The sequence below is a fragment of the Homo sapiens genome, chromosome 7, assembly GCF_000001405.40.
Source record: "Homo sapiens chromosome 7, GRCh38.p14 Primary Assembly".
NCBI classification, from domain to species: domain Eukaryota; kingdom Metazoa; phylum Chordata; class Mammalia; order Primates; family Hominidae; genus Homo; species Homo sapiens.
The window spans coordinates 111,301,627-111,329,302 of record NC_000007.14 but is presented as its reverse complement, the minus strand read 5'-3'; the positions used below and the strand labels follow the sequence as shown (position 1 = coordinate 111,329,302).

The window sequence follows — 27,676 nt, the reverse complement described above, 5'->3', positions numbered from 1 at the left end:
AGTTTTAATTCTTCTCCTTCTCTTTTTTTTCCTCTTCCTGTTTCTGTTTCTTTTCAGGATATTTTGGTACTTTCAAATTTATACCTCTGCCACAGCTTCAGCTGCCTAGAATCCTCTCTATTAATGCATTCTTAATAGCGCTCAACATCCTGCAGCAACTTAAATGTTTCGTATCTTGGCTTATTATGAATTTGAATACTGAATAACATGATTGTACATGAAAGCTTTTCAAAAGATGTGACGATCTTTTAAATTATTGTAGGCTTTATGAGACACCTAGTCTGAGCAGGTTAGGAAAAAGTAGATTCTGAGATCTTACCAAGGTCTTACTAATGTAAAAATCAATGGCTTTTTTTTTCTCTGTGTTATTAATGGTTAGGGTCCCAATGTTTTTTTGTGAGACTAAATAATAAAATAATGATCTTTTTAAGTGTGGTGCATCATTGACTGCTGTCTTTTTATCTGAGAAAACTATGTATGTTTAGTAAGTCCAAGGGCACGTTGAAGTTTCATGTGGAATAGTTACATGGGAATTTGCTGCAGCAATTACTCTGCTGTTTAATGACAAGCAATTATCCACATCACTTCTCAAGCTATACATCTCTCTCTCTTGCCCTTCAGCATTATGAACATCCCACCCATGGGCATGAGCATTTATTCTACACAGTATCCAGCTGTTACCTACTCTAAGACGTAACACACCTCTAGTTTTTATAACTAATTCTAAGCCTTGCTGTATTGGGGCTTGTAAAATATAAACCCTTACTTTTTATAATTGCCATTTACTTTATATTCTTCAAACTTTGTAATGCTTTTAGAATTTGTGGGCCCTGAAATAATTTTTGTACCAATAAGGAGCAAGAAGGGATAGTTGCTTTTCTACTGGGGAAAACTCAGTAACCATGTAAATGCATTTCTAAGTATCATTCTGTGGGCTCCTATTTAGTTCTAGCTGCCATGTATTTCATTGTAATATGTCATAATTGCAGTCATATTGTTTAAATTATTTTTCCTGAATTATATCAGTTTTTGAAACATCTTTAATATTCCTTTGTAACCTGCCACTGGGTGGAAAAGAACCCCAGCTGTATTGACAGTTTTCAAAATAACTTTTAAGAGCTTATAGGAGAATACTCTGAGAGAGCTGTTTTAATGGTGCTGTTTTCAAAAATCGTACAAGTTCTCTGAGTAAGATTGGATCTTTGTAGTTTCATTAGTTCTATTATGACTGAGAGGTCATGTGGTTTTGTAAAAATATTTTTTAGTTTAATGATGAAAAGATGGTGAAATGTGGGTGGTTATGCTGCTTTATAATACTTTATTCTCATATGTATTCTTATATATTATATATCTACTATACGTACCTATTTTCCAAACAGGTGATTCAGGTATGTAGTTAAAACCCTCATTTCCACACTGAAATCAGGAGCCTTTTGACACATAGAAATCTGGAGAATTAAGAATTTCTTGTATTATGTACACTATGTTTTCAGCTTGCATTTCTGACCTTAAGCAATTTATGGCTCTCTTTCTTTCTACTTCTGCATTTATTTTGGCCAAACCACAGGATTTGATGATGACTTTTAAATTATTAATATACCATAAGATTACTTTCTAGCCTCTAACTTATTTCTGAAAATAGTTAAAAATATTTTTCCTTTTCATGCACAAATAGCACATTTGTGAGCTGAATTTTCCTATATTTATTTTTATTTATTAATATATTATGTATTTGCTCATGCCAAGTGCTACAAAAGAAATAGTTCAGTCTTTTGAAGTGTAAGAAGTACATGGATGAATGAATGGTGGGTTACAGTACCTCGCAGGAACAGCTATGATAGAGACATGCAGCAAAGGGAGTTGAGTACATGTTAATGAAATTGTAGAAATTATTTAGTTACAGTGACACTTTTTATATATAATGATCTATGTGAGTGAACACTCATAAAGCAGGTTAAATGAGGCATTCTATTTTGATAATATTTTCTCTTACATGAATTTTAAGAATTATTATCTTGCTTAACTGAAACTTTATACCAGTTGGACAGCAACTTCTCATTTTTCCCTCTCCCAAGCCCCTGACCACCACCATTCCCTTTTTGCCTTTATGAATTAAACTATTTTAGATACTTCATATAAGTAGAATGTATGCAGTATTTGCGCTTCTGTGACTGGCCTATTTCATGTAGCACAGTGTTTTCCAGGTTTATCTATGCTGGCAGGATTCCCCTTTTTCCCCATCCATATGCCAGGATTCCCTTCTTTTTAGAAGCTGAATAATATTCTAGAGTATGTAAATGTACTACGTTTTCCTTATCCTTTCATCTATTGATGGACACTTAGGTTGATTCCATATCTTGGCTATTGTGAATAGTGCTGCAGTGAACATGGGAATACAAATACTTCTTTGAGATCCTGATTTCAGTTATTTTGAAATACCAAAAACCAAAATTTATTTTGGATAATACCTGAAAATGGGATTGCTCCAAGAAATGGTAGTTCTTTTTATAATTTGGGTGGAACCTCCATACTGCTTCCAGAGCTGTTGCATTTCCCACCAACAGTGCATAAGGGTTCCAGTTTTTCCAGTGTTCCCTGTACTTGTTTTTCTTTTGTTGTTGTTTGTTTGGTAACAGCCATCCTAGCAGGTGTGAATTGATATATCCTTGCGGTTTTCATTGCATATTTCTGATGATTAGTGATCTTGACCATCTTTGCATATTCCTATTGGCCATTTTTATGTCTTCTTTGGAGAAATGTTTATGAGAAGTAGGAATCTTAATGAGGAATATGTTAGCAGCTGAAGAAGATTTCTGAATGGAATTGTTTAAGAGACAACTGAGAATTGAGGCATTGTACAGCTTTCACTTATGGAGGGAGAATGCATGCCCATAATTTTGGAATTATTGTAACTTTAATATCTGAGATGGAAAGATATTTCAATTATAATCTTTGGTATTGATCAAAAACTTTTTTGTAGTTTTGAGAAAATTTTAAAAATTTAATCAAATTCATTATTTGCTAAGCATCTTAATTTTTATTTGGCAATCTCAGTCTTATAAATGCATAATTTATATCTCAATTGAGGTATTATGATGAACTAATTGCCTTCAAAATACCTAAAATATATAAAATTCGATTAAGTGTAATTTTCTTTATATCTTTATAGACCTGAAAGTAATAGCAAGTAAAGAGAGCAGAAATTTACTCAGGTTTGGTTTAGGAGATTTTATGAAATCTAACCATAAAAAAATACTGTACATAATTTAAACACAGCATGTTTTACAGTATGCAACTTCAAGCAGTAATAAATTATAAATAGCAATGTTGCTCACAATTCAGTTATAGGCAAAACTACATTATAATTTAAATTAAAATTCCAGAACATTATTACTACAGTAAAATTTCATGAGGGGTTCAACCTCTCTAATAAAGAAATGCAAATGAATCAACTGTGAGATGCCATTTTGATCTACTACACTGATGATGCCAAAAGATAGAATGTAGTATGGAAAAGGGGTCAAGGGAATAGAAGTTATATACTCGTGGTCGGAATGTAAAGTTTCAATATTTTTGAAAGGTATTTAGATGATATATTAAAATTTACATCCTTTGATTCAGGAATTTCACTTCAAGGATTTTTTTGTTAAGGAAATAATCAGAGACACAAATAATTACATGAAGGGCTCGATTACAGAAGGATTTATACTATTAAAACACTAAAAAAACCTAAACTCCAAAAAATAATGGAAAGATTAAAAATATTTTGGTAGGTCCACATGATGATCTTAATATACATTCATTTAAAATTATATTTTGGAATTCATTTACTAATATGGTAAAATATCTATAGCTATATTAAGTGGAAAAAATGGAATTAAAACATTATATTTATTTTGCGCGCTTTCACATTTGTACTTATCTGCATACAAGAAGATTGAAGCAAAATATACCAAATACTGTTATTATTTATAATTTAAAGATAGCTAATCTTTAAAAGGTTCTCATTTTATATACCTTTTTGAACTTTCCAAGATTGCTACCATTAATCAGTGTTATATTAAAAGTTAAACATTATTTTAAAAAGCTCTAAGAATTAGCTCAAAGAATATACAGCTATGAAAACATATATTATTTTGTAACTAAAATCTTATATTTCTTTTTTGTGGATTAACCTATTATTGGGTTTTATGCTAGTAAAATAACATTCACTGAACATTGCATTCTCTATGAGATGGCATTTGCAAATCTCATAAATTCAGAGAACACAATTATGTCAGTGAATTGAAATTAATGAAATGGCATCCCACACAGGCACCATAATTTGCATATTAATTTCAGTTAATGTTTTTATGGATGTGGCAGACTTATCTTAGTCATATTTGATTAAAAAAATTAACAGATTGTGAAGCAACCAAATGTTGAGCAGTTGTTCCCCTAGATTTTCAGTATTCAAAAAAAATCTTTGGTGTGTTATTGTTTGCACTTTGAATTTTAGTTTATTTACCTTTTATTGTTTTTTAAAAACTAAAAATACATTTTGTCAATAAACAGATTGTTGTTGATATTGGTTGATATTGAATATTTATTTTTTAGCTATAATTTATTTTTTTCCCTTTGTTAGGGAATATAGTATTGGAATTTCTCATTTGAATATATTACACTTAAACATTATATTACACATGATTTTGAATGAATTTTTTATTTGACTCTAGGAACTATTGTTAAAAATATTTACTGGTTTTCTCAAACATGCCTTCATGTTTTATAGCATCTTTTCTCAACTTGAAAAAGAGTGACTTGCCTCAACTTAATTTAAGGAACCTCTGATGAATTATGGTCTGTAGTTGACTAATTAGTTTTACTTCCCTTTTTAGGCATTTCCTTAATGCATTCTCTCTCTATTATGGTCAGTTTTGCCAAATGAAATTTTATTTTACCTATGTTTCAGATTTATTTGCATATACAATAGATTTCTTTTCCTCTTTGTGCTTCATTTTCTCTTTCAGTTCATCTCTTTTGATGACTATTTCTTCTTTGTTATTTTTCACTTTGTGTTTTTGGGCTTTCACCCTAATCTCCCCCACCTTTTTATTTATTAGGTTGGCTAGTAATTTTTCTATTTTGTTGAGTGTTTCAAAGAACCAGCTTTTTTTATTTTATTGTACTTTAAGTTTTAGGGTATATGTGCACAATGTGCAGGTTAATTACATATGTATACATGTGCCATGTTGGTGTTCTGCACCCATTAACTCATCATTTAACATTAGGTGTATCTCCTAATGCTATCCCTCCCCACTCCCACCACCCCACAACAGGTCCCGGTGTGTGATGTTCCCCTTCCTGTGTCCCTGTGTTCTCATTGTTCATTTCCCACCTGTGAGTGAGAACATGCAGTGTTTGGTTTTTTGTCCTTGTGACAGTTTGCTGAGAATGATGGTTTCCAGCTTCATCCATGTCCCTACAAAGGACATGAACTCATCATTTTTTATGGCTGCATAGTATTCCATGGTGTATATGTGCCACATTTTCTTTATCCAGTCTATCATTGTTGGACATTTGAGTTGGTTCCAAATCTTTGCTGTTGTGAATAGTGCCGCAATAAACATATGCGTGGATGTGTCTTTATAGAAGCATGTTTTATAGTCCTTTGGGTATATACCCAGTAATGGGATGGCTGGGTGAAATGGTATTTCTAGTTCTAGATCCCTGAGGAATCGCCACACTGACTTCCACAATGGTTGAACTAGTTTACAGTCCTACCAACAGTGTAAAAGTGTTCCTATTTCTCCATATCTTCTCCAGCAGCTTTTGTTTCCTGACTTTTTAATGATTGTCATTCTAACTGGTGTGAGATGGTATCTCATTGGGGTTTTGATTTGCATTTCTCTGATGGCTGGTGATGATGAGCATTTTTTCATGTGCCTTTTGGCTGCATAAATGACTTCTTTTGAGAAGTGTCTGTTCATATCCTTTGCCCACTTTTTGATGGGGTTTTTTGTTTTCTTCTTGTAAATTTGTTTGAGTTCATTGTAGATTCTGGATATTAGCCCTTTGTCAGATGAGTAGATTGCAGAAATTTTCTCCTGTTCTGTAGGTTGCCTGAAAGAACCAGCTTTTTGATCTGTTTATTAATTTTGCTGTTTTTCTGACTTCATTTTTATTTTTATTAATTTCCTTCTGCTTTTGTTTTCTGTTGTCAGTCTTTTTCTAGCTTTTCAAATTAAATGTTTAAGTCATTTTATTTGCTTTCTTTTTTTCATTTTGAAGAAAGAGAGTTTATTACAGTGAAGAGTTTGCAAATGTGGGAGATGCAGCCGTCCGTGTAAAACAAAGGTGCATTCACCATTTTATTTACTTTTGTAAAAAAAAAATTATGTAAGTATTTAATGCTATGAACAAAGCTGGGAGACGTAGGCTTTGATATAAAATATAGATGCATTCCTCATTTTATTTCTTTAAAAAATATGTAAGTATTTAATGCTATGGATTTTCTTTGGAGAAGTGCTTTTACCATGACCCATAAATGTTAACCTGCTTTTTAATTTGCAGGTGAAAAGGTCTTTTTCTCATGTAAATTATTATTCATTATTAGTAGGTTTCTTGGGGAGATTTTGCGTCGTGATCTGAGAACACCACTATTAAATGTATTTGTATATTAGTATTAATATTACTAATATTAGTATATTTCTAATTTTTTTTAAAATTCAGTTCCTTCTACCACCCAGATATCGAATTTCTTTTTCATTTTTTGGGACCTGGAGATTTCTCTACCATTGTTTCAAACTTAGCTACATAATGGAGAATTCTTATGCTGTTCCTTCTACTTCAACATTTCATTGATTTGGAGCAGAAAGTGACTCATGGTTCTGTCTGTACAATTCAGTATAATATTATGCTGATATTATGCTTGTGTTAAATTCAGTTTCAGAATGTCTATATGATGTGAACTAAAATTCTGCATCTAACCAGTCATGGGGTCAATTCGACCTCAATAAATATTTATTGAGAATCTATTTATCTGGCACATACTATTTCCATGGGTCTGGCATAAAAGAATCTGGGGGCCAGCCTTTTATTCATTAATAATTGTTTAGTAGTTATCAAGTCTTATAGTGGCTATGTTCAAGACTAATTAAATTACCAATAACTGTAAATTCAAAGCTGTTATCTTACATTAATTACTGTAGGGATGTCTCTTGGCATTGTTTTCTCTTGCAGAAATTATAAAAGTTCAAAAATGAAAGTACTTTAAGTACTGTGAATGCAGTAGATCACATTATACACAGGGTTTTAAAATAGTTATGGGCTTTAACATAATTTGAGTTTTAACATATGGCATTTTAGGTTTAAGGATTTGTATCATAACTCAAGGTGTTTCATTGTCCATAACTTAGTCACAAGGGCAAGAATATAAGTAAAGTGTTGGAAGTTTTTTTTACAGTCCTTTGAAAAGACATGCTGAACTTTTCTATACTTATCACTCTGTAGTTCCATTCCTTTTAATTAAATAAACTGCTGAGCATATAATTTTTCTTTCATTTTGGACTTTGAAGAGTGAGTCTGCTAAGAGAGTGCTTACATTGAAACCACATTCAAGTGTCTATTTTAAAGGATTTCTGAATTTGGTGATTTAGAGCATAGCTATATAGTAAAGCAAGCTTTGGATTTAAGGCTAAAATTTTGATTTGCAGTTAAGGACTCCTTTTATATCACTCCCATGATGTACTACAAAAACCTGAGAATCTCAACCTCAAAGATAAATATTAATAATTTAGAGAAAAAAAAAGATTGTTGTAGTTTTTTTTCCATGAGAATATTTGCATTTAATTTGAGACATTGAGAATATTACCTCAAATCAGAGATCTGAGTAGTCTCTAGCTTCTCAGGAGCACTCAAAATGGATGGAGATTTTTCTTTATAATTATTGTCATTTATTTAATCAGTGTGCAATGATTAAATCATATACGGAAGCAGGATTTTGATTATAATTCTTTTATTTTAATAGAGTTGTAATCTGCTTACCCTGAGCCAATTGTGTGTTGACTTACATTCTCACTGTATGGACAGATGCTTTTTTGGTATTATCGTAGGAGCAAATAAGGGTAAGTCAAATCAAAAGGCCATGATGTAGCCTCTTGATCAATTGACTTTCCTAGATTCATTAGGATTGCCCTGAAATTTATGACAAACTCTTAGCTGTTATTTATTTATTTTTCCATTGGGCAGATTGGAGAATACTTAGTTCATACACATTTTGGTGGCCATATTTTCTTGAAGAAAACATGGAACACATACCGCCTTTCATTTATATCTTTATTCATTAATTCAGCAAACATTTAGTGAGTGTCTCCTTTGTTCCAAGTACTATTCTAGTCATTATGATACAAATATGAATAAGTTGCTTGTACTTTAAGGATCTAATAATCAGTGATTGGGGGAGGAAGAACAAAGTAAACAGTACTGTATGGTATGATAACTATAAGCATAGGGTGCTTTCAGAGCACACAGATGTGTCACCTGGAGAAACTGGAGAAGTCTAACAATGTTTTCTTGAGGATTACACCTGAATCAAACTCAATTGCTTTAGTGTTCTGGATGAGGAATGGTGGTGCCTAGTACTGAGAGAATATGAGTAACTGAGTAATTTCAAATTGTTTGGCATTGTTGGGTACCACAGTGGGAGTGGTAAGAGTTCAGTGTGAGCAGCAACCAGTCAGATTATCAAGGGCCTTGTAAACAGTGTTAAAGAGTTTGGACTTGATCTGAGGGTAGTGGGTTGTTCCTAAAATGTTTTAGAAAGATTATTCAGATTGTGTTTTAGAATTTATGGGTTGTAGGCCAGAGAAAGGGAAACCAGTTAGGAAACTGATAAAATCACCTAGGTCAGAAATTATATGGGCTGAAGCAAATGCTGAGGAAGTGAGAGAGAAATGAATAGTTGCATGAGTGAACAAGAATTTGGACTGTAAGAATGGGAAGAGGCAGAGTGGCTCCTCAGCTTCTGATTTGAGTAAGAAGGTGGATGGATGGTGGTGAAGCCATTGACTGAGGTGAATGGAGAAACACAAGAAGGTGTAGTTTGGGATTTCATAGAATTAGCTTCTGTCTTGGTAGGACAGTGTGACCACATGTTCTGTGACCTAACAGTGTGCAGCCTGGGTATGATCTATTGTTGAAGCCTCACTTGACTTATGGCTGGGGATCAATGACTTTTCCTCTCTTTCTGTGTATATATATCTTCCCACGATGGAGGCTGATGTGGGGATGAAGATTTTTTTTAAAGTGGTTTTAATGCACAGAAATATACAGTAATGAATAGTTAACAAGGGAAGAAAGAGCTCCAGTTAATAGTACTAAGTTAAAAATAAAAGAGAAAAATAGAAATAATTTTTATATAAAGTCATTGTTACGACCTCCCATGGAATGTGGCAGCCGAAATATTAACTATTAGTTATCCCCTAGGAGGCCTTGGGCATTACCTGGAAATGGGCCCTGAAGGTGTATTTTCAGCCAATGTTCTGGTCTTCCTTTAATCTGTTTGTTTCCTGTTTCATACTATATGTTATGCTAACATTCTAAAAAAACTTAGGTTTAAATTGCTTCTTTTCTAAAATAGAACTTATCGCTATAGAATATAGCCTTCTGTATTAAAACAGATTATAGGGTTGTTATTGAGGGCTGATCTTTGAAACCAAACATATAAAATTGATTTAAAGCTAAAATTTTGATTTGTAAAAATTTTGAATGATGAAAATTTTGGTAGTTCACTGATTACTATTCTCTTATGACTCTGCTTCTTCCACTTTCTACCCTAATCTCTTCCCACCATCTCACCAGCCAAAAGGAGTTCTACTTAGATCTGCTAAACTATGAATTTTTTTTACGGTTTTGGAAATAACATTATATTATATTTGGAACATATTGGAGAAATCTATAATATGTAGCACATTAGTGTAGAAGGATATTCTACTTCCTGTGCAGAGATGACTTTTAGTGCTTATGAGGACTTTAACTATGGTCTTTAAGCTATATAGAACATCAAGGTCACAGCTTTATATTGCTGAACAGTTCTCTGGATGATGTGAGGGTGAAAAAAGAATGCTCTCAGCACTTTTTTTGAGTGTGACAAGATTACAAATGATTCCTCACAAAGTCTTGAAAGTGTAATCGTGCCCTCAGACTTGCCCTCCTACAGACATATTTGGTAACGCTTACTTAGCCTTACATTAAGCCACATGGTGATTTTCTGATTACCAGGATGGTAGGACAGGGATGTTTTCTTATTGGTCATTGTGATGTGTGGACAACATTTAAGGTAATGATAGCAAAATAGTTCACTTATCTATATAGTTGGCTAACTTGTGGCTAAATGGCAGGCTAATCTTAGAATTATTCAGCAAAGTCTGGCTAATGGTCGAATCATGATGAATAGACAGTATATTAGCTTGTTAATTGAAATGAAGAACTGTTACTTCCATAGTTGAAATATAGATAATACCAATTATGTAATAGTCCTAATTTAGTATCTAAAATATTTTTAAAAGAATCTATTAAGTAATAGAAATTTTTCTTCATTATGGTATAGTTATTCCGTCTTCAAGTGGCTTGGTAAGGTATTGTCTTTAAAAAGTGCTGTCTTCTAGGATATCATTTGACTTACAAGTTTGCCATTGCACCTCAGAACTAGAAAATCAATTTCTCATTTGAATTGATCCATACCACTGTTTTGGAATTAATTACTTTTGTCTAGGGTTTAGTCATGTTCAGATCTGCTATAGGTTACATCTGATCTGAGGCTTCTTAATGATGATGATGATTTCTATGGTAAAATCTTTTCCTGGGGAGTTGCTTCCCAGATCTTCCTTTTGCTGTTTCCTTTAGACATCTGTATGTGTCTGCAATCTGTTACTACCAGATTTCACCACCAGCCCTTGAACTCTTGAATTGTTTGTGTGCTCAACCCCTTTTCTGTTCTTTGTAAGGAACCTGAGTTCTCCATTGGCTTCCACATCTGTATTAACCAGGCATCTGGGGAAAGGACGCCATCTGCTTTGAGGAGAGAATCAATCACCCTTTCATTTACACTGATATTTGGGCTCCTTAAAGGCCCCGTGGCCCTCCTTCACTCTTTAACTTTTTAGATTCTGACCTATATTGGAAAATAAAACTGCTAAATCATAAGCTAGTGTAGTTTTTACTTCCCTAATCCTTCATGGCTTGGATAAATATAACATTATAAGGATTGCATTATAAGTAAGTGGTTATATTCTGTTAATATTTATTTACCATAATTGGTGCTCATTAAAGGGCAGATTGAAAAAATGTAGATTTCAAAATATAACAGCCTATTTGGTATTTTTTCTTAAGTAAAGGAAAATGAGACCATGTAGAATCTATAACAAATTTTATTGAACCTTTCCTGGAATTTTCAAAGTTTCACTTAACTCTAACAGGTTCAAGGAAATAATGAAATATTAAATTCACAGACTTTGAAAAGCTTATTATTAATATGTTTAAAGAACTTTCTTTAAGCATCTTAAATTTTTCTTAAGCAGTTCAACAACAAAATCAACACCCTCACTAACCAAGTGAAATCAAACTGACAGATTGTTTGTAGCAGCCTTATAATGGTCTCCTTGGGTTTATGATCTGGGGAATGAAGACAAATTGTTGATTTTTAAATAGAATGCCATGTACTCTTTGCTAAGAAAATTTGCCTTTAATTTTTAGACCTTTGAGTATTTTATTACTAGTTTTTTTCTGTCTCTGATTCAGTATTATTATATCTTCAAAATACTGAATATCTAGGGAGTCTGATTGATAAACCTCAATTTCCAGAGAGTCAGGTAGTATTTCTTTGCCCATATAATGTTGGATCTTAATATATAAATCTTGCATTCAGCCAAACCATATTAAGCTTGGCAAAATCCTTTGTTTCTACATTATGTCTGAATAATGATATACTGACAATTAGAATCTTCATTTATTTCTAGTTCAGAATGGCTTCAGATGTTGTTGAACTTTGTGTTGTACTTATCTCTTGAATGAAATGAGGTAGGCCTGAGTGGGTACAGGATGTAAAGTCAGAGGCCTGGATAATAATCTGGCTCTTCCAAACTCACTTAACCACGTTGAGACACTTTCATGTCTGTACAAACGAGCCAAAAATCATGCCTGCAATCCCAGCACTTTGGGAGGCTGAGGCGGGCGGATCACGAGGTCAGGAGATCGAGACCATTCTGGCCAACATGGTGAAACCCCGTCTCTACTAAAAATACAAAAATTAGTTGGGCGTGGTTGCACGTGCCTGTAATCCCAGCTACTTGAGAGACTGAGGCAGGAGAATCACTTGAACTCGGGAGGCGGAGCTTGCAGTGAGCCGAGATCTCGCCACTGCACTCCAGTCTGGCGACATAGCGAGACTCCATCTCAAAAAAAAAAAAAAAAAAAAAAAGAAAAAAAAAAGGAGCCAACAATATCTCTCTCATTGGGTTGTTGTGAGATTTGACAGAGATAATATATGTGAGATTCTTTACAAATGGCCTTTTTTGATTGTAAATATGATAATTTTTTTACTGAAGCATATAAATTTATGAGATAATACATTTTGACTATCGGATGTCCTTGCATATTACTTTATTTTCCCTTTTCTCCCTTTACTTTTTAAAAAATTTGTTTATTCTCTCTACTCCTTCATAAAGAAATGTGTGTGTTAAATTTATGGCCCTCGTAGCTTGAGTGTTCCTAAGCGGCAGCCCTCTTCAAAATGGAATCTTGATGAATAAGAACCTGGATTAATTTATTCATGGCTAAATAATTTTTCTTTTCTCCCTAACTATGTATTCATCCCTAAATCATACATTTAGATCATAACTAAGAATTTTACTTTGTTGGCTCTTAACATAATGAAATATATTCTGGTTTTCAGGCCCTTTTTTCGACTTTTGTTTCCTGCATGTTCTTTCTTTGTCTATGAGTCTTTTACTTGGGGTGGCTGGCTTGTGCTTTGAATACATCTAACATCCTCCACTCTTTATGCTTCTTATGCCTTTCTTTATACCATCCACCCAGTTGTAATTCCTGTCTACTCTCAGATACAGCCATGTGCCACTGCATAATGTCAGTGATAGACTGTGTTTTTGATGGTCTTCCCATAAGAGGATAATACCATGTTTTTACTGTACCTTTTTTATGTTTAGATACACAAATATCATTGTGCTACAATTGCCTATGGAATTCAGTGCAGTTACATGCTGTACAGGATTGTAGTCTAGGAGCCATAAGCTAGGGGTAGTCGGCCATACCATCTATGTTTGTGTAAGTATACCCTGTGATGTTCGCACAATTATGAAATTGCCTATATGCTTTTCTCAGAATGTGTTTCCATCATTAAGTGATGCATAACTGTACTTTCCTGTTGTTCAGGTGTGGTTTAAGCCTTATCTCTTACATGAAGTCTTTTCAGACTTCCATAGCCAGAGTAAGTTTTTTTTTACATTCCTATGTAGTTATTATCTGTAATACTCACCTTTTTATTAGTTGAAAAATGAAGCCTTTTTTTTTTTTTTAAGAAGCCACTAGGAAATGTTTCCTTGTGTGTTGTTTGCTTAAATGGACGTAGTCTCATTCATTACTGAAAGACTACGTGGCGGTGAGGAAGGTATTACTATGATTGGTTTACATTAAATAGAGCTTAAGTCTGAAGCTGTGGTAGAAAGGATTTGGAAGAGCAAATTGCATTGTGTGCACAGATAATTGTCCATCCTGGAAAATATCCACGTAAATTTTTAAGAAATGCAGAAGCATCAGAAATATTTTTAGAAATCCATGTCGTTTCTGTCTTCACTTTATTTATTTGTTTTTTTTTTCAGTCATTTCCTGCCATTAAGGGACTCATAGGCTACTGAAGGATTCAGATAAATACTTTTTAGTAAAGTATCATAAGTACCATATGTATAAGCAAGATCCTGAGGAAATACTAGTTTCTTCCTATTGTCTTACCACCTGTCAGGGCTAGTTTCCTGTGTTATTTGGACTTCTCTCTGCAGGACTGCCCAAATTTTTCATATCAATAAAAGAAGCTTAACGCAAAATTACTGATTTTGATTAAAGAGGATATTTTTCCTGGTTGGTTGTATAAGATGGACTGTGATAGCGTCACAAATGTTTGCCTTATGATATGTTTTAAAAAGTCAACGATATTCTGGGGGAGGGCCACCTTAAAAGAAGTGAGAATTAAATCGGAATTTTTCTTTGGGTGAGATATGCACGTATACTTTTAAAATATTTTCCTCCCGATTTACTTTGGTTAACTTCTAGTTCTCCTAATTAATATGTGTGAATTTGGCATATTAAAAGGGTAGATTTTCTGTCAAACAGTCATGACAAAATAGCAGACAAAAAATAGAATATATTTCACAGCTTAATTTAAGTTACATTTTTACTACCCTTGCAATTATATTCCATAGGTCTCCACTATTTGTTTAGAAAAATCTATAGGATAATTTTATTTCTTTAATCTTGTAGAAAACACAGTTATTAAAATGGACATTGAAAACATATTAATAGTTATTAAAGTGGGCTTAACTGATAGATTGATTAGAAGCTGGGGAACTTGCATAGAGAAGGAGGAGGAGAACTAGCTTTTTCCTAGACAAGTGGGAATTACTTCAGTTTATTGTATTACTTCAGTAGTTATTGCATTACTTCAGTTTTATTATCCTATACTAGAACAGCTTTCTAAATGATCTTATTTTCCTCATCTTATTCACTCTAGTCAATCCTCCATTCCTCTGGCAATTATCTTTCTAAAATTTAAATTAAAAAATTTCAAATGCAACATCATTCAATCAATTGTATGAGCAATATATTAATAGAATCATACTTTGCTCACCTTTTGCCTGTCTAACCTTTTCTTCGGCATATTCCTGATTATCTCCTCATTTGCTATATTTCAAATTATATACAATTCTACTTTCCAGGACATCTTATGCTTTGTCAGGTCTGTATGCCTCCATACATGCTGTTTTTCTGATCTGAAATATTATTTTTTCTTGTATTCTTTAGAAGCCCTAGTTTTTCCCCAAGTCACTTCCCTGAAGCCGCCTGTATTAGGCTATTCTCACATTGCTATAGAGAAATACCTGAAACTGGGCAATTTATAAGATGAGAGGTTTAATTGGCTCAGTTCTTCAGGATGTACAGGAAGCATAGCAGCATCTGCTTCTAGGGAGGCCTCAGGGAGCTTTTACTCATGGTGGAAGGCAAAGCGGGAACAGGCACTTCACACAGCAAAAGCAGGAGCTAGACAGAGAGTGGAGGGCAGAAAGTGCCACACTCTTTCAAATGACTAGATCTTGCGAGAACTCACTATCACAAAGACAGCACCAAGCCATTAAACATACACCCCTGGGATCCAAACACCTCCCACCAGGCCCCACCTCCAGTGCTGGGGATTGCAGTTCAACATGAAATTTGGATTGGACAAATATCCAAATTATACACCATCTATGACCCTTCTTGGCTGTTGTAGTTGGCTCTCCTGTATACCTGATACACATAGTCTAGTTATTATTTACTGTATTTTGTCTGTTTCCTCTGATTCTATTTCCTGACGAGAGTAAAAACTCCTATAGTTGATTTTACATCTGTAACTCTGGGATTTGTCACAATGTCAGGAACATAGACACAGTAAGTATTTGTTGATTATTAAGAAAGTTAAGATTAGATTGAGAATGGCATTTTGAGTGCTTGTGTAGTATTTGGTTTTCTTTACAGTTATTATTATACCATAAAACATATATTTAATTTATTTTATAAATGGTTAGAAGATAAAATGCATCACATTCTGTTTTTCCATTATTGTTTGGTTTTGTGACAGTTAGTGCTGTTATCTCTTATCTATATATCTGCCCTTCCACACTCTACTGCAAAGATATAAAACCTGTGAACCACACATGCCAGATTCCATTGCTAGCAAGTTTTCTATTAGGTACAGCCAAAGCAAGGCAATCTTGAAAGATTGTAAGGTAGGAGAGAAGAAGCAGCTATTTATTTCCTTTTATTGGATGGTGTACTTCAGCATGCAGAAGAGGATACTGAAGGTGACCTCTGGTGGCTGTGAGTTCCAGAAGCATTAGTGTTGGCATCTTGAATAGCAGTAGCAGTACTCCTGCTGCTGGACAGTATAGGCTCTGTTGAGCAATAACAGAGCATTCCCAGTGGCACCTGTAGAAGTTTTTCCAGGAGCTCAGCAATTACTGCAGGCTTGTGGGCTCCAGCCTAGTGGGGTAGCACCCTCACTTTGGTTTGAAACCCTGTTTTTGTTTTGTGCCTTCAAGTATTTATTTCTTCCTTTTTTTTCTAACCCCTTCAACAACTGTATAATCAGTTTCTGGTATTAAATTTCCTATTCTGGAAATGTCTATAGTAGTTTCTGCTTTCTTTAGTGAACAATAACCAGGAGTGGTTTTAGGAGACAGAATTTCAAAGATGAGAATTTGAGATTGGTTATCTGACCATACTGCAATTGAACACAATAGTATATCATTGCCAGTGGAAAATTGCCGTTCCATGCAGGGTCAGCTCAGTTACTTAATGTATCACCTTTCTTATCAGAAATGAAGTGTTTACTAAAGTCAAAGTTTTGGGAAATCAAATGGAAGTTGTAATTGACTGTTATGGATTGAATAATGACTCCTGTTGGCTGTTTTTGACTACACTAGAAGGTTTATAGAAAGGAAATTATGGGTTCAGGACTTCTCTCAGTTCAAGGATAGTCACGTAAACAGAGATCTATGATCCCCTCCCCACTCCCACTGCCAACACAAATTGTCTTGTCTTTTATCATTGCAGTAATGATGCAGCTGAAAATAAGAACCAAACTTCAGTTCTGAGAATTATAGAATCACAGTACAAGTTGAATTCACAGCCTCACTAGCTTTCTTATATGGAAGATAAGACATGAATGGTAGACATGGATCATGATAATTGAAATGAATATATTTATGTGAGTGAACTCACCTAAATCTCAGAGCCTTGAACTCCAGTTTCCTCTATGCTTCATCTGCAGTTTCCCCAGTGCTTTATTGTGGAACCAACCTCTTCTTCTTTCTCTAAGGAGATTAAATTCCCTCTTCTTGAAGAGTCTGTAATGGCCATAGTGACTTCAGTCTTGCATGAAAATATCCCAAAGCCTTAGGGAGATAGGAATGTTGCAGTGGGTTTATCATGTGTGACCCACAAATGCTTTCCTCATGGAAATATTGAGAAATGCATTGGTGAAGGGAACATCAGTGTCCTTGAAGAAATCTGGGAAGGCTGTATTCTGATTGCCTTGGATGTGATATTAGGTGCTACTTTCAAAATAGACTCTCTCATTTTAATGGAATGATGGAATTCTGGAGTGGCAGAGGCTGAGTGTCCCAGTGTAATCACTGGAAGCAAAGTGAGTACAATTGCGATAATGGGTGGAAGAGCCAGAGTGACAATCAGACTATTGTGACACCAAACTTTTAATTTTTGATGGTGGCTGAAATATCACTAAAATACAGACTCTAGGGTACAGAAACATAATTGATGTCGTGAGCAGAAAACTCATTTCCTCACCCTGATACAACATCATGGCCTCTCACTCAGTTTCTAGACCGGAGCCAGTTCACAGAGCCACAGCCCTTAAATGAAATGAGGGCAACTGTATCCCTCTGAAGATAAAGCATGAGTATTGCTACAAATACATACCAAAAATCTTTCTTCAAGTTGTCCCCAGTGTGATCTCAGTCATTTACCAGGATGATTGTACATTGTGGAAAGGGAAATTCTTAGTTATTTCAGGGATTACCATACATGGCTCTTACTTGACACTAATCCTTGGCAGGGAGGGGAGACCCAAAATGCTTGACCATTGTTCTTGTCAAAGTGTGACCTTATGGGGACCAAATGATCCCTCCCTCCCTGCCTGCCTGCCTTTCTTCCTTCCTTCTTTCCTTCCTTCTTTCTTTCCCTTCTCTCATGTTCTTTTCCTTTTTCTTTCTTTGTAACTTGAATTACTCTTACTGTAGTTCCAGGGAGTTTGTTTATCTACCTTGTGATCATTGTCCAGTTCTTCAATGCTTACCTTGACTAGATATCCTCTGTAGCTTGCAGAATGTCCATATTGGCTTTCTGAACCATGGAATGAAGGATATTGTGGTAGAAGGGGACAAGTGGAAAGCCCTGGAACTGTTCTCCCATCCAGGAGAGCAAATCAAAAGCAGTAAATTCACTAGAGAAATGTCAGAGATTACCGCTGCTATTAAATACTTAAAAATTTTAAAAGAGATTTTTAGCACATACTCATTTTACTCACCTACTTGCCTTGCGCAAAGGAGAATAGGCGTTAGAAACCATAATGCTCTGTTTTAAATTTAATCAGGTTGCAATTCTGATTGGAGATACTCTTCTAGATGTGTTCTTTTTTACTAGAGCCAGTCATTCTTGTCTCTGGCACTTGGTATACGGCTATTGATCTTGCAAATCCTTCCCCCATTCCTATATCAATTAGCCAGGATTACAAGAAGCTCATTACATTCATCTGACCAAGAATGCAGTATACTTTACTGTCAGGGCGATGTAAAATCTGCTCTGTCATAATGTAGTACATATTGGAGTTAATTTTAAAATGGTTAAATAAGGATAAGAAATTTCATACTTTTTCCATTATTAGTGGAAAATTTTAAACCAAAGAACATTTCTTAGAACTAATAAAAGGTAGAAGAAGAAGGTGTTAATTAGTGCTTAAAGCAATATGTATTTGATTGGCTTAATTTAGGATGATTGCTCTTCCAGAATTAAAAATAAAGACCAACAGAAACAAAACTTTAACATAAAAGTTAATTTTAAGCTATAGAGTTTCTTGTCTCCCTACGTTTCCCTTATCTTATGTGCCAAATTGAAAATGAGAGGTTCTTAATACTTTTTGTGCCATGGACCCCTTTTCCAATCTGGCGAAGTTCGTGGATCCAGTCTCAGAATTAAAAAAAAAAAAATTAAGCATGTGAACTCAAAAGTCTTAGATTTTTTTTTTTTTTGAGATGGAGTCTCGCTCTGTTGCCCAGGCTTGAGTGCAGTGGTGATCTCGACTCACTGCAACCTCCACCTCCCGGGTTCAAGCGATTCTCCTGCCTCAGCCCCGCGAGTAGCTGGGATTACAGGCACACACCACCATGCCCAGCTAGTTTTTGTATTTTTAGTAGAGTTGGGATTTCCCCATGTTGGCCAGGATGGTCTTGAACTCCTAACCTCAGGTGATCCACCCGCCTTGGCCTCCCAAAGTGCTGGGATTACAGGTGTGAGCCACCGTGCCCGGCCAGAATGTTATTAATGCACAAAATAAATGCATAGGATTGTAAAGGAAATAAACTAAATTGAAATAGTGCCATCAAAATATTTTAAAATCTCTAAAATAGTAATACATGAATAGTAATAGTAATGGGATGCGGCATTACTTCTAACAGGTACTATAATTTTGGAGTTAGTGATGAGTGTAACAATATTTCAAAATATATATTATTTCTGTCGGTCACAAGTACAACAAATACTACTGTGATTTGTTGTCTGCATTCTTAATAAAGGGAAATTTAAACTTTTAGCTAATTGTTAGTGAAAATAAGCATATGATCTTTTTTTCATCCAAATACATGAATCATATTCCCTATATTGTATCTATTGAACTTTTCGGTGGGGTTTAAAACCTCTAACATAGTGGAAAGACAAGACTGAGTGAATCTATGTGAAAAAGTATCAATTCTTTGACCAGGGAGATACCACATAGTAAATGAATACTTCTGATATACTAAATGGTTCCTTATGGACCTTTGGGAGCAAAATTATTTTGAGCACACACTCTGTTTTCTTCCATTTCGTTAACTGGTTTGAGCTCATTTACTTATAATACTCATCCAAACTGGCCATATAACATTTAAAATTTTTGTTTATTTCCAAAAAATTGATTTCTTGCAATCATCTTCACTAATTGCCTGGCATAGAATTCTTACTAGTGTGTTTCCACGTGTACTGTTTGTTGTACATTTGTCAGCTCACTCAAATAAAACTGCAAATAATGAAAACAATTGTATTTTCTCCAGTACATCTGTGAAATAATGTCTTCTTATTTTTTCTTCCTTCTCTCAAATCTTGATCCCAAATTATGACAATTTCACAACCATTTGAAAAATTATTGTGTTTATTGGATTATATGCAGGTGCGGTTCTGTACTTTATTCTACAAATCAGTGGTTAAGTTAATGATGCACTAGTTTAAATTTAGCAAAATGAAGCATTACAAGCTCAGCTGAAAAATGATTCTTGTTTTAACCAGTATCTTCACACAGCTGTTTAAATACCATATTGTACTTTTTTCCCTTTCCTTATTTAAGGTGGCACATGGTACTTGTGTAATCTTTGCTTATTTTAAGCTGGCATAAAAGAATGGTTCTCAGCAAATTGAAGGCAGTTTGCAAAACTGGAGGATATTCTCATGAATTTAGGCCAAGTTAAATTATTATTGAAGAATACATCTTTTTTTCCCCCAAAATTTCTCCTGAGAATTTTTTATTATAATGTTATATTTGAAAGTTTATGACAAAGGTACTTTTTTTTCTCATTTGTTCCATGTAATTTTCTTTCTTTTGTATGATGATACCATTAAAGTAAGATTGGCCAGAAAGAGTCAGATGTTTTTAAATTGTAGTAGTTCACTGTCTGTACTATCAATTTTATAATATTTTTCTGCCTAGAAACTTTTTGTTCTCCATACATAGAAATAAAGGCCGACTCAAAGCATATTACATTAAGATGGCAAGTTTAAATAATTTTTTGTAACTGCTTGTTTTTTCACTCCTGCACTATCCCCACTGCCTACGTCTTCAATCTCCAGATTCCTACATCACCAATAAGACCCAAAGTTTCCTTTTCTTTTGTATTTTTCTCAAATGCACCAAATAAAACTTTACCTTTAGATTTTATTTGTTTACCCTTATATATTTATTTAGCTTTCATATTTTCATGAAAGGTGTATAATATTTACAGATATTAATAGTAAGATTTTGTCACAATATATCTGTGAGATAGGGTACTGCCAGTGTAGACATTATATTTACTTTTTAGCCTGGGATTTTTTTCTCTATGTTGGTTGATTGAAGCAAATAATCTTATAGGCCAGAAATACAATTGAATTTGGACAGATACGCACAAGCATAGTTGTAAGTTAAGAGACTGAGTTGAACTATATCACTATAATTGTTTTAGTTTGTGAAAATCTCAATCTATATCTCTATTTCTTAAAATTTGTAGAATTGCTTAAAGTGTTCAATTATATTCTGTATATGTATTCAAATCCCCTTAATATCAGGCCTGATTTTGGTTGAATTTTACTGTTTTGTATTTATGGAACTTATTTTTATTATTACTGGATTTACACCTAACAACAAGAAACAATGCCCCATGAGCTAGTATATCAATAAAAATTGTATTGCTATGGCCATTTCTAAGGAAGTTGGAAACACAATTGGAACAAATAGGAAATAGTTCCAAGTAAGAAAAAAAATTCTCTCAAGGAATAAAAACAAACTGTAAATTATGAATATGGTAAAACTTATGGGGAACATAGTAACTTGAAAATATTTTCTCGATTTAATAAATACTATATATATAAAATGTATGTAATTATATTTTATAATGGTATATTGTTTTTATGCAAAGTTTATATGTTATATATAGCAGATATAATTTTGAGAAGTATCACTCTGGAACCTTCTATATTTTTACCTACTGCGAGGTAGATAATCATAGTTTTTGCCTAGTTATATTTTATTACAGAATATGGTACACATAAGCATGTTTAGTGCAAAGATCAGGACTAAAATGCATAAGTGAAACTAGAAGGAGTGGAACCAAAAATCAAAACTTAGTGACTCGACAGTATTGGTAAATACTGTTAAAATAAGAATAACAAGATAAATAGTAACATTCATGTAACATTGGCCAAATATTAATCACTCTTTAGTTTCTTATTTCAAGTGCCATTTAGAGCAAATATATAAGAAAATTAAGATCTTAAATTCTGGAATATATCAATAAAATATTTTTTAGGATCCAAAAGTAAGGTACTAAGTTTTCTAACCCAATTTAAGATTGTATAATAGAGGTGCTTATTTCCTTTTTTGAGGTTCCCATCTTATTTGTGTAGAAAATGGACAGAAATGATAAACTAAGGACTATATAAAGAAAATAGATAGAAAAATATATATAGAATATAATTAGAATGTAATATATATCTATATAGAATATAGTTAACCAGTTCTTTAAACATCAGAGAAGCTCTTTTAATAATGAGAGATAATTTTCATAAGGATAAATTTAAAAAATATAATGTTGCTATATATTGACAATCAATATAGTCTTCCCTGCCTCCCCCATTTGCTGTGGGTAGCAGAGTCTTAGTTTTGTAAATTGTTTTATTTTTCTTGATTCAGCCCAAAGGATAAAAGTCAGAAAACATCATCAAATTGAAAGAGTCTCTAAAGATTGCTTACACTGCATTACTTTATCAAGAGATCTCATCATTACAGCTTCCCAGTCAGTAACCCCTTTTCTGCTTTAAAACTGGACACACACACACACACACACACACACACACACACACACACACACACACAGAGTCCAGTGATAATCAATGTGATCTCATATATAAAAATGAAAGGCCTTTAAATATTTCTGAAAATTTGTTGACATAGATACCAAATAAATAAAGACAGATTTATGCTAGAATTTTTTAAATAGACATAATTTTTAGAGAAGTTTTAGTTTCACAGAGAAATTGAACGGAACATACAGAGATTTTCTATGTACCTACTCCTGTTCCCATACATTCATAGACTTCCCCATTTATCAGTATCCCCCACCAAACTGGTACATTTGTTACAGTTGAATTGACATTGACACATCATCACCCAAATTTCACATTTTACATTAGCATTCACTGTTGATGTTGTACATTCTATGGCTTTGGACAAGTTTGTAATAACATGTATCCACTGCTAGAGTATATAGGGTAGTTTCACTGCTCTAAAAATCTTCTGTGAATTTATAAATTTTTTTGATGATTAAAATTGTATATATGTACTTTGGAAAATTTAGAAATGTAAAATAGAATGAAGAAGAGGAAAAGATAGTCATTGCACACATTTTGATATAAATTTTATTTAAACAAAGATATCAAAGTGATCCTTGCAAATTTGGGCCATCTTTTTTACATTTCATGATATTTAGAGATTTATTATAAAAATTTGTGATAGTTTCTAGAAGGTATCAGCAGCCATCCATTCCCTTGCCCTATTCTGGCCTCCACCACTTTTCCTCAGAAGCTAGTTTACCTAATTATCAACCACTTTTTGTGTAAAGCAATGCAGATAGAGAACAATAGAATGGAGAACTCATCCAGGTTAGTGACATTCTCACAGGGAGTGTGTTGGTTCTAAGACCAGGTTCTAGGATATGGTTCTTAGCTTCACAGGACCTGAAAGCTGATTCTTCATTATTTTAAAGTTTATTAGCCTTTCCAGGATAGACTCACCAAACAAATTCATAAATATATGTTATCTGGTATTACTGATATATAAATCAGAGTGCTAATTTATTAATTTGCCATTAGTCCCAGCCACTCAGGAGGCTGAGGCGGGAGAATCACTTGAACTTGGGAGGCGGAGGTTGCAGTGAGCTGAGATCGTGCCACTGCACTGCAGCCTCTGGTATTACTGATATATAAATCAGAGTGCTAATTTATTAATTTGCCATTAGTCCCAGCCACTCAGGAGGCTGAGGCGGGAGAATCACTTGAACTTGGGAGGCGGAGGTTGCAGTGAGCTGAGATCGCGCCACTGCACTCCAGCCTGGGTGACAAAGTGAGACTCCATCTCAAAAAAAATATTTAGCACTCAGGGAAATGGATTTCTTTGTAAAGCCCTGAAGCCAGCTGATCCCACTGAGCTTCACACTACTGCTATTCTGGGTTGCTAAACAAAGTGCCATTCCTTTTCTAATAATTTAGCCCTCTCTCCAACTCTGCTCGTACTCTTCTTGGATTTTTTTTTCCTACCCAGCTTCCCACTCTTCTTAACCCTTGCAAGACTCTGGAGATGCCATTTCATAGCAAATCAAAAGAAAACAACCTACCTCATCAAAAAAACAAGACAAAGTTTCTCTATTCATACACTTGTCAAAGAGTTTTCTTATTTCACTTCCTGTCATCAACTAAAATCTGAAATCTGGAGCCACTTTCTCCAACAAAGAGCCCTCTCTCTTAGGTAGATTATACTTTCAAATTCTTATTTCCGAGACTTTCCTTTGATCAGTGTCAAGTAGATCAATTTTTTTGAATGTGTTGGTTGTTGTTTCTTTTTGTTTGTTGAGGAAAATAGGAAAGGTAAGGTTTAAACTTTCTTAAATTTCCCTTCTAATTATATATTTTTTAAAGTAACATGTGGGTCATCTTGATTTTGGGCACTGATAATTCAGATGGTTTAATTTCCTCTTTACAGGATACACCACACACACACACACACACACACACACACACACACACACACACACACATTATATATGTGTATGTATAAACACCCATACATTATGTATGTATATACACCCATACATTATATATGTATATACACCCATATATGTGTTTTATATACACACTATACATATGTACACACACACATATATATACACACGTTATATATATGTATATATACACATTTTATATATATACACACCTATGGGCTCACAATATTCTACAAATGGCTGAACGTTAATTTTTACTCTTCTCAATTCATTCTCAGGGTGCTAATTTCATTTCCATTTGGGGCATGATTTTTACTATTGTCCCCTTTCTCCACCTTACCTCCATTCATATATTTTTTGTTGAGAGATAGGAAAAACCTCTTTCTGTAGATTCTGTGGCACTTATTTCCTGTTAAAGCTTTAACTGCACATGTTATTTGGACATTGATTTCTCATCTCATGACAGAAATGGCAAGGTTAGCATTTCAGAACTTCTGTTAACAATATCTTCATCCTTTCATTAGTTTAATTCATGATAATAATTCACACAAGCTTTGACCATTAAATCCTTTTAGGAAGCAGTGTTTCCCAAAGGCCAATATTCGTTATGAATAATTAGTTTCTTCAATTCATTTTAGTGTATGAAATTAACAGTATATGGAAATTCATTTTCTTTCTGATGCAATAAACTTTCCATTAATGTATGAGATAATTTTTATGTTTTTTTTCTTTTCCTATACAACTGATGGTTAGAGTATTCAATAGGGTATTTTATTCTGTTCAGAGTAAAGTTCGTTTGGGAGGTTTGTGGTTTTAGTAGTTGTTCCCTCAACTCTGTTCCTTCCATCACACCTTTTTTTCTTTTATTGCACATTAAATGATGAGGTCTCACCAAAAAGCATTTATGAAATCCCTGAAGAACCCTAGTAAAGGTGGTGAGATTGATTTTTGTGTTTCCTTTTTAAAAATTGTACAGAGAAATGTGTGAAGCCCATATCTTTGGGAAGCTTAATATTCAAAAACTGTCAACTCAGTTTTGAAAAATTGCCTTGTTTTTGCCATTATTATTTCTGACATATGGATCAGGTGTAGTTTTAAAGAATGGGAGAATCAACCTTAAGTTATTTCTTCACAAATATGAAAGGAGTCCCACAAAATAAAATATAGGATGCCCTAACTTTGCATAGTCATGATCATAGAAATCAAATCCCAAAGCACTTATAGAGGTAAGTAAAAGCATTGCAGAAATAAATAATCAAGATTGATTGCTTCCAAACTGTGAGTATATGTAAACAAACAAAAAATTTGCTTTATGAGACTGAACTTTTAAATTTATTCAGCCAGAGATTCATTGTTCTGATGTCTGTGTGATTTTCTCTTTAAGGAAAGAGTGAGAACATATTCATACGTTATAAATTGCTAATACTTACTAGTTGATACAATGATGAAATGATCTGTAAAGAATACATGCTATTTTAACTTTTCAGATTTCTATAGCTCACTTAGAGAAAAAAAATCAAAGCACTTTGAGGATACTTAGAGCAGAACAAGGCAATCTAAGGGGGAAAATGTATACTTAGAAATGCATTTGGGTTTTTAAACATTTGAGTCCTGGGTATCTTTGCAGTTTCAGAATTCCAAATGATATTTGTATGAGGCCATATTTTGCTTTCTAAAATTTCAAGGATGGAGGCAAGATGGCAGTGTAATGTGCTGTCTTGATGCTAGTAGGATACAGTTATTTTGTGAAGAAAATTTAGTGACTTCAGTATTGGAGGTTCAGGTCACTGGACTCTAGTGTAAAACCAGGGATGTGGTAGCCCCAGAAATTATCTCACAAACGAGTCATATTAAGAAAACTCTCTTTCAGGTGTATTCTATGTCATACCCTTTCCTTATATGGCAATATTTTTCTTTGGAACTTAAACTATAAGTCACCAAATAAAAGATTCTAGGTAATAAAGATTTTGGTAATTGTCATAATCTCCATAAGATAAGCCAAAGAGAAAAACAAATTCTTTATTTCATTACTTTTTTTGTGTGATGACTAATGCTCTTTTAGTAGATGTGTAACCTTGATTTGGTTATTTAACCTCTCCGTGCTTCAATTTCTTTTATTTATATAATGGGAACAGTAATAGCACCTCCTAGGGTTATCATGAAGACTGAATGAGCCCGCATGTGCCTGCACACACACACACAGAGTTATCGAAAGAGCTTTTAGACAAGTGCTATGTATAGATGTGTTTTTGTTATTGCTGTACTTATTATTATTCATGCCACACTTCATAAATAGGGACGTCAAGCACTATTCTATGTGCTGGTCTGCTGAACAAGGCAGACAAGGATCCTGTTCATATGAAACTTATATTTTGGTTCAGGAGGTCAGGGAGACAATACAACAGGTAAATAAATGATAAAATTTTCAGGTAGTGCTAACTGATATGTAGAGGATTAAACTTGGGTGTTTGTATAGCTTGGATAGTCAAGGAAGTATTTTTTTAGGAGGTAACATTTTAGTTGAGAACTGATGACAGAGAACTAACCTTGTAGAAATCTGGGGCAAGGGCATTCCAGTGAAGTTACTAAGATGTACTCAGAGAACAAAAAGACTGGTGATGCTAATGGGTACTGACCTGGGCCTGTGCAGTGTGAGGTGTGACCTGAGAGGCTGGTGAATCTAGTCATGTACAGCTCTGTGAGCCTGGATAAGGAGTCAGGATATCATTCTAATTGTGGCAGGGAATTCTTAAGGTTTTTTTTTTTTTTTTTTTTTTTTTTTTTTAAAGCATGAAACTGACATGGCGTAATTTACATTTAAAAACCATTTTGATAAGACCTACTGTATAGCTATAGTATTCAAGACAATGTGTTATTGGTGGAGGGATAGACACATAGATCAATGGCATAGTATATGAAACACAGAAATAGCCTACACAGATGTGGCCAACTTAATTTTTGACAAAGGAGCCAAATAGTTCAATGGAGGAAGGTTAGAAATTTCAACAAATGATGCTGGAGAAACTGGACATTCACAGGTAAAATAATGAACCTTGACCTAAACCTCATACCTTCTACAA

The 27,676-nt window shown here is 34.0% G+C and overlaps 1 protein-coding gene across 26 annotated transcripts in view; it reads left to right on the top strand.

Moving 5' to 3' along the window:
- The window catches only part of IMMP2L (inner mitochondrial membrane peptidase subunit 2), an 899,849-nt gene that overhangs the window by 233,190 nt on the left and 638,983 nt on the right, over window positions 1-27,676 (top strand). The window lies entirely within an intron of this gene.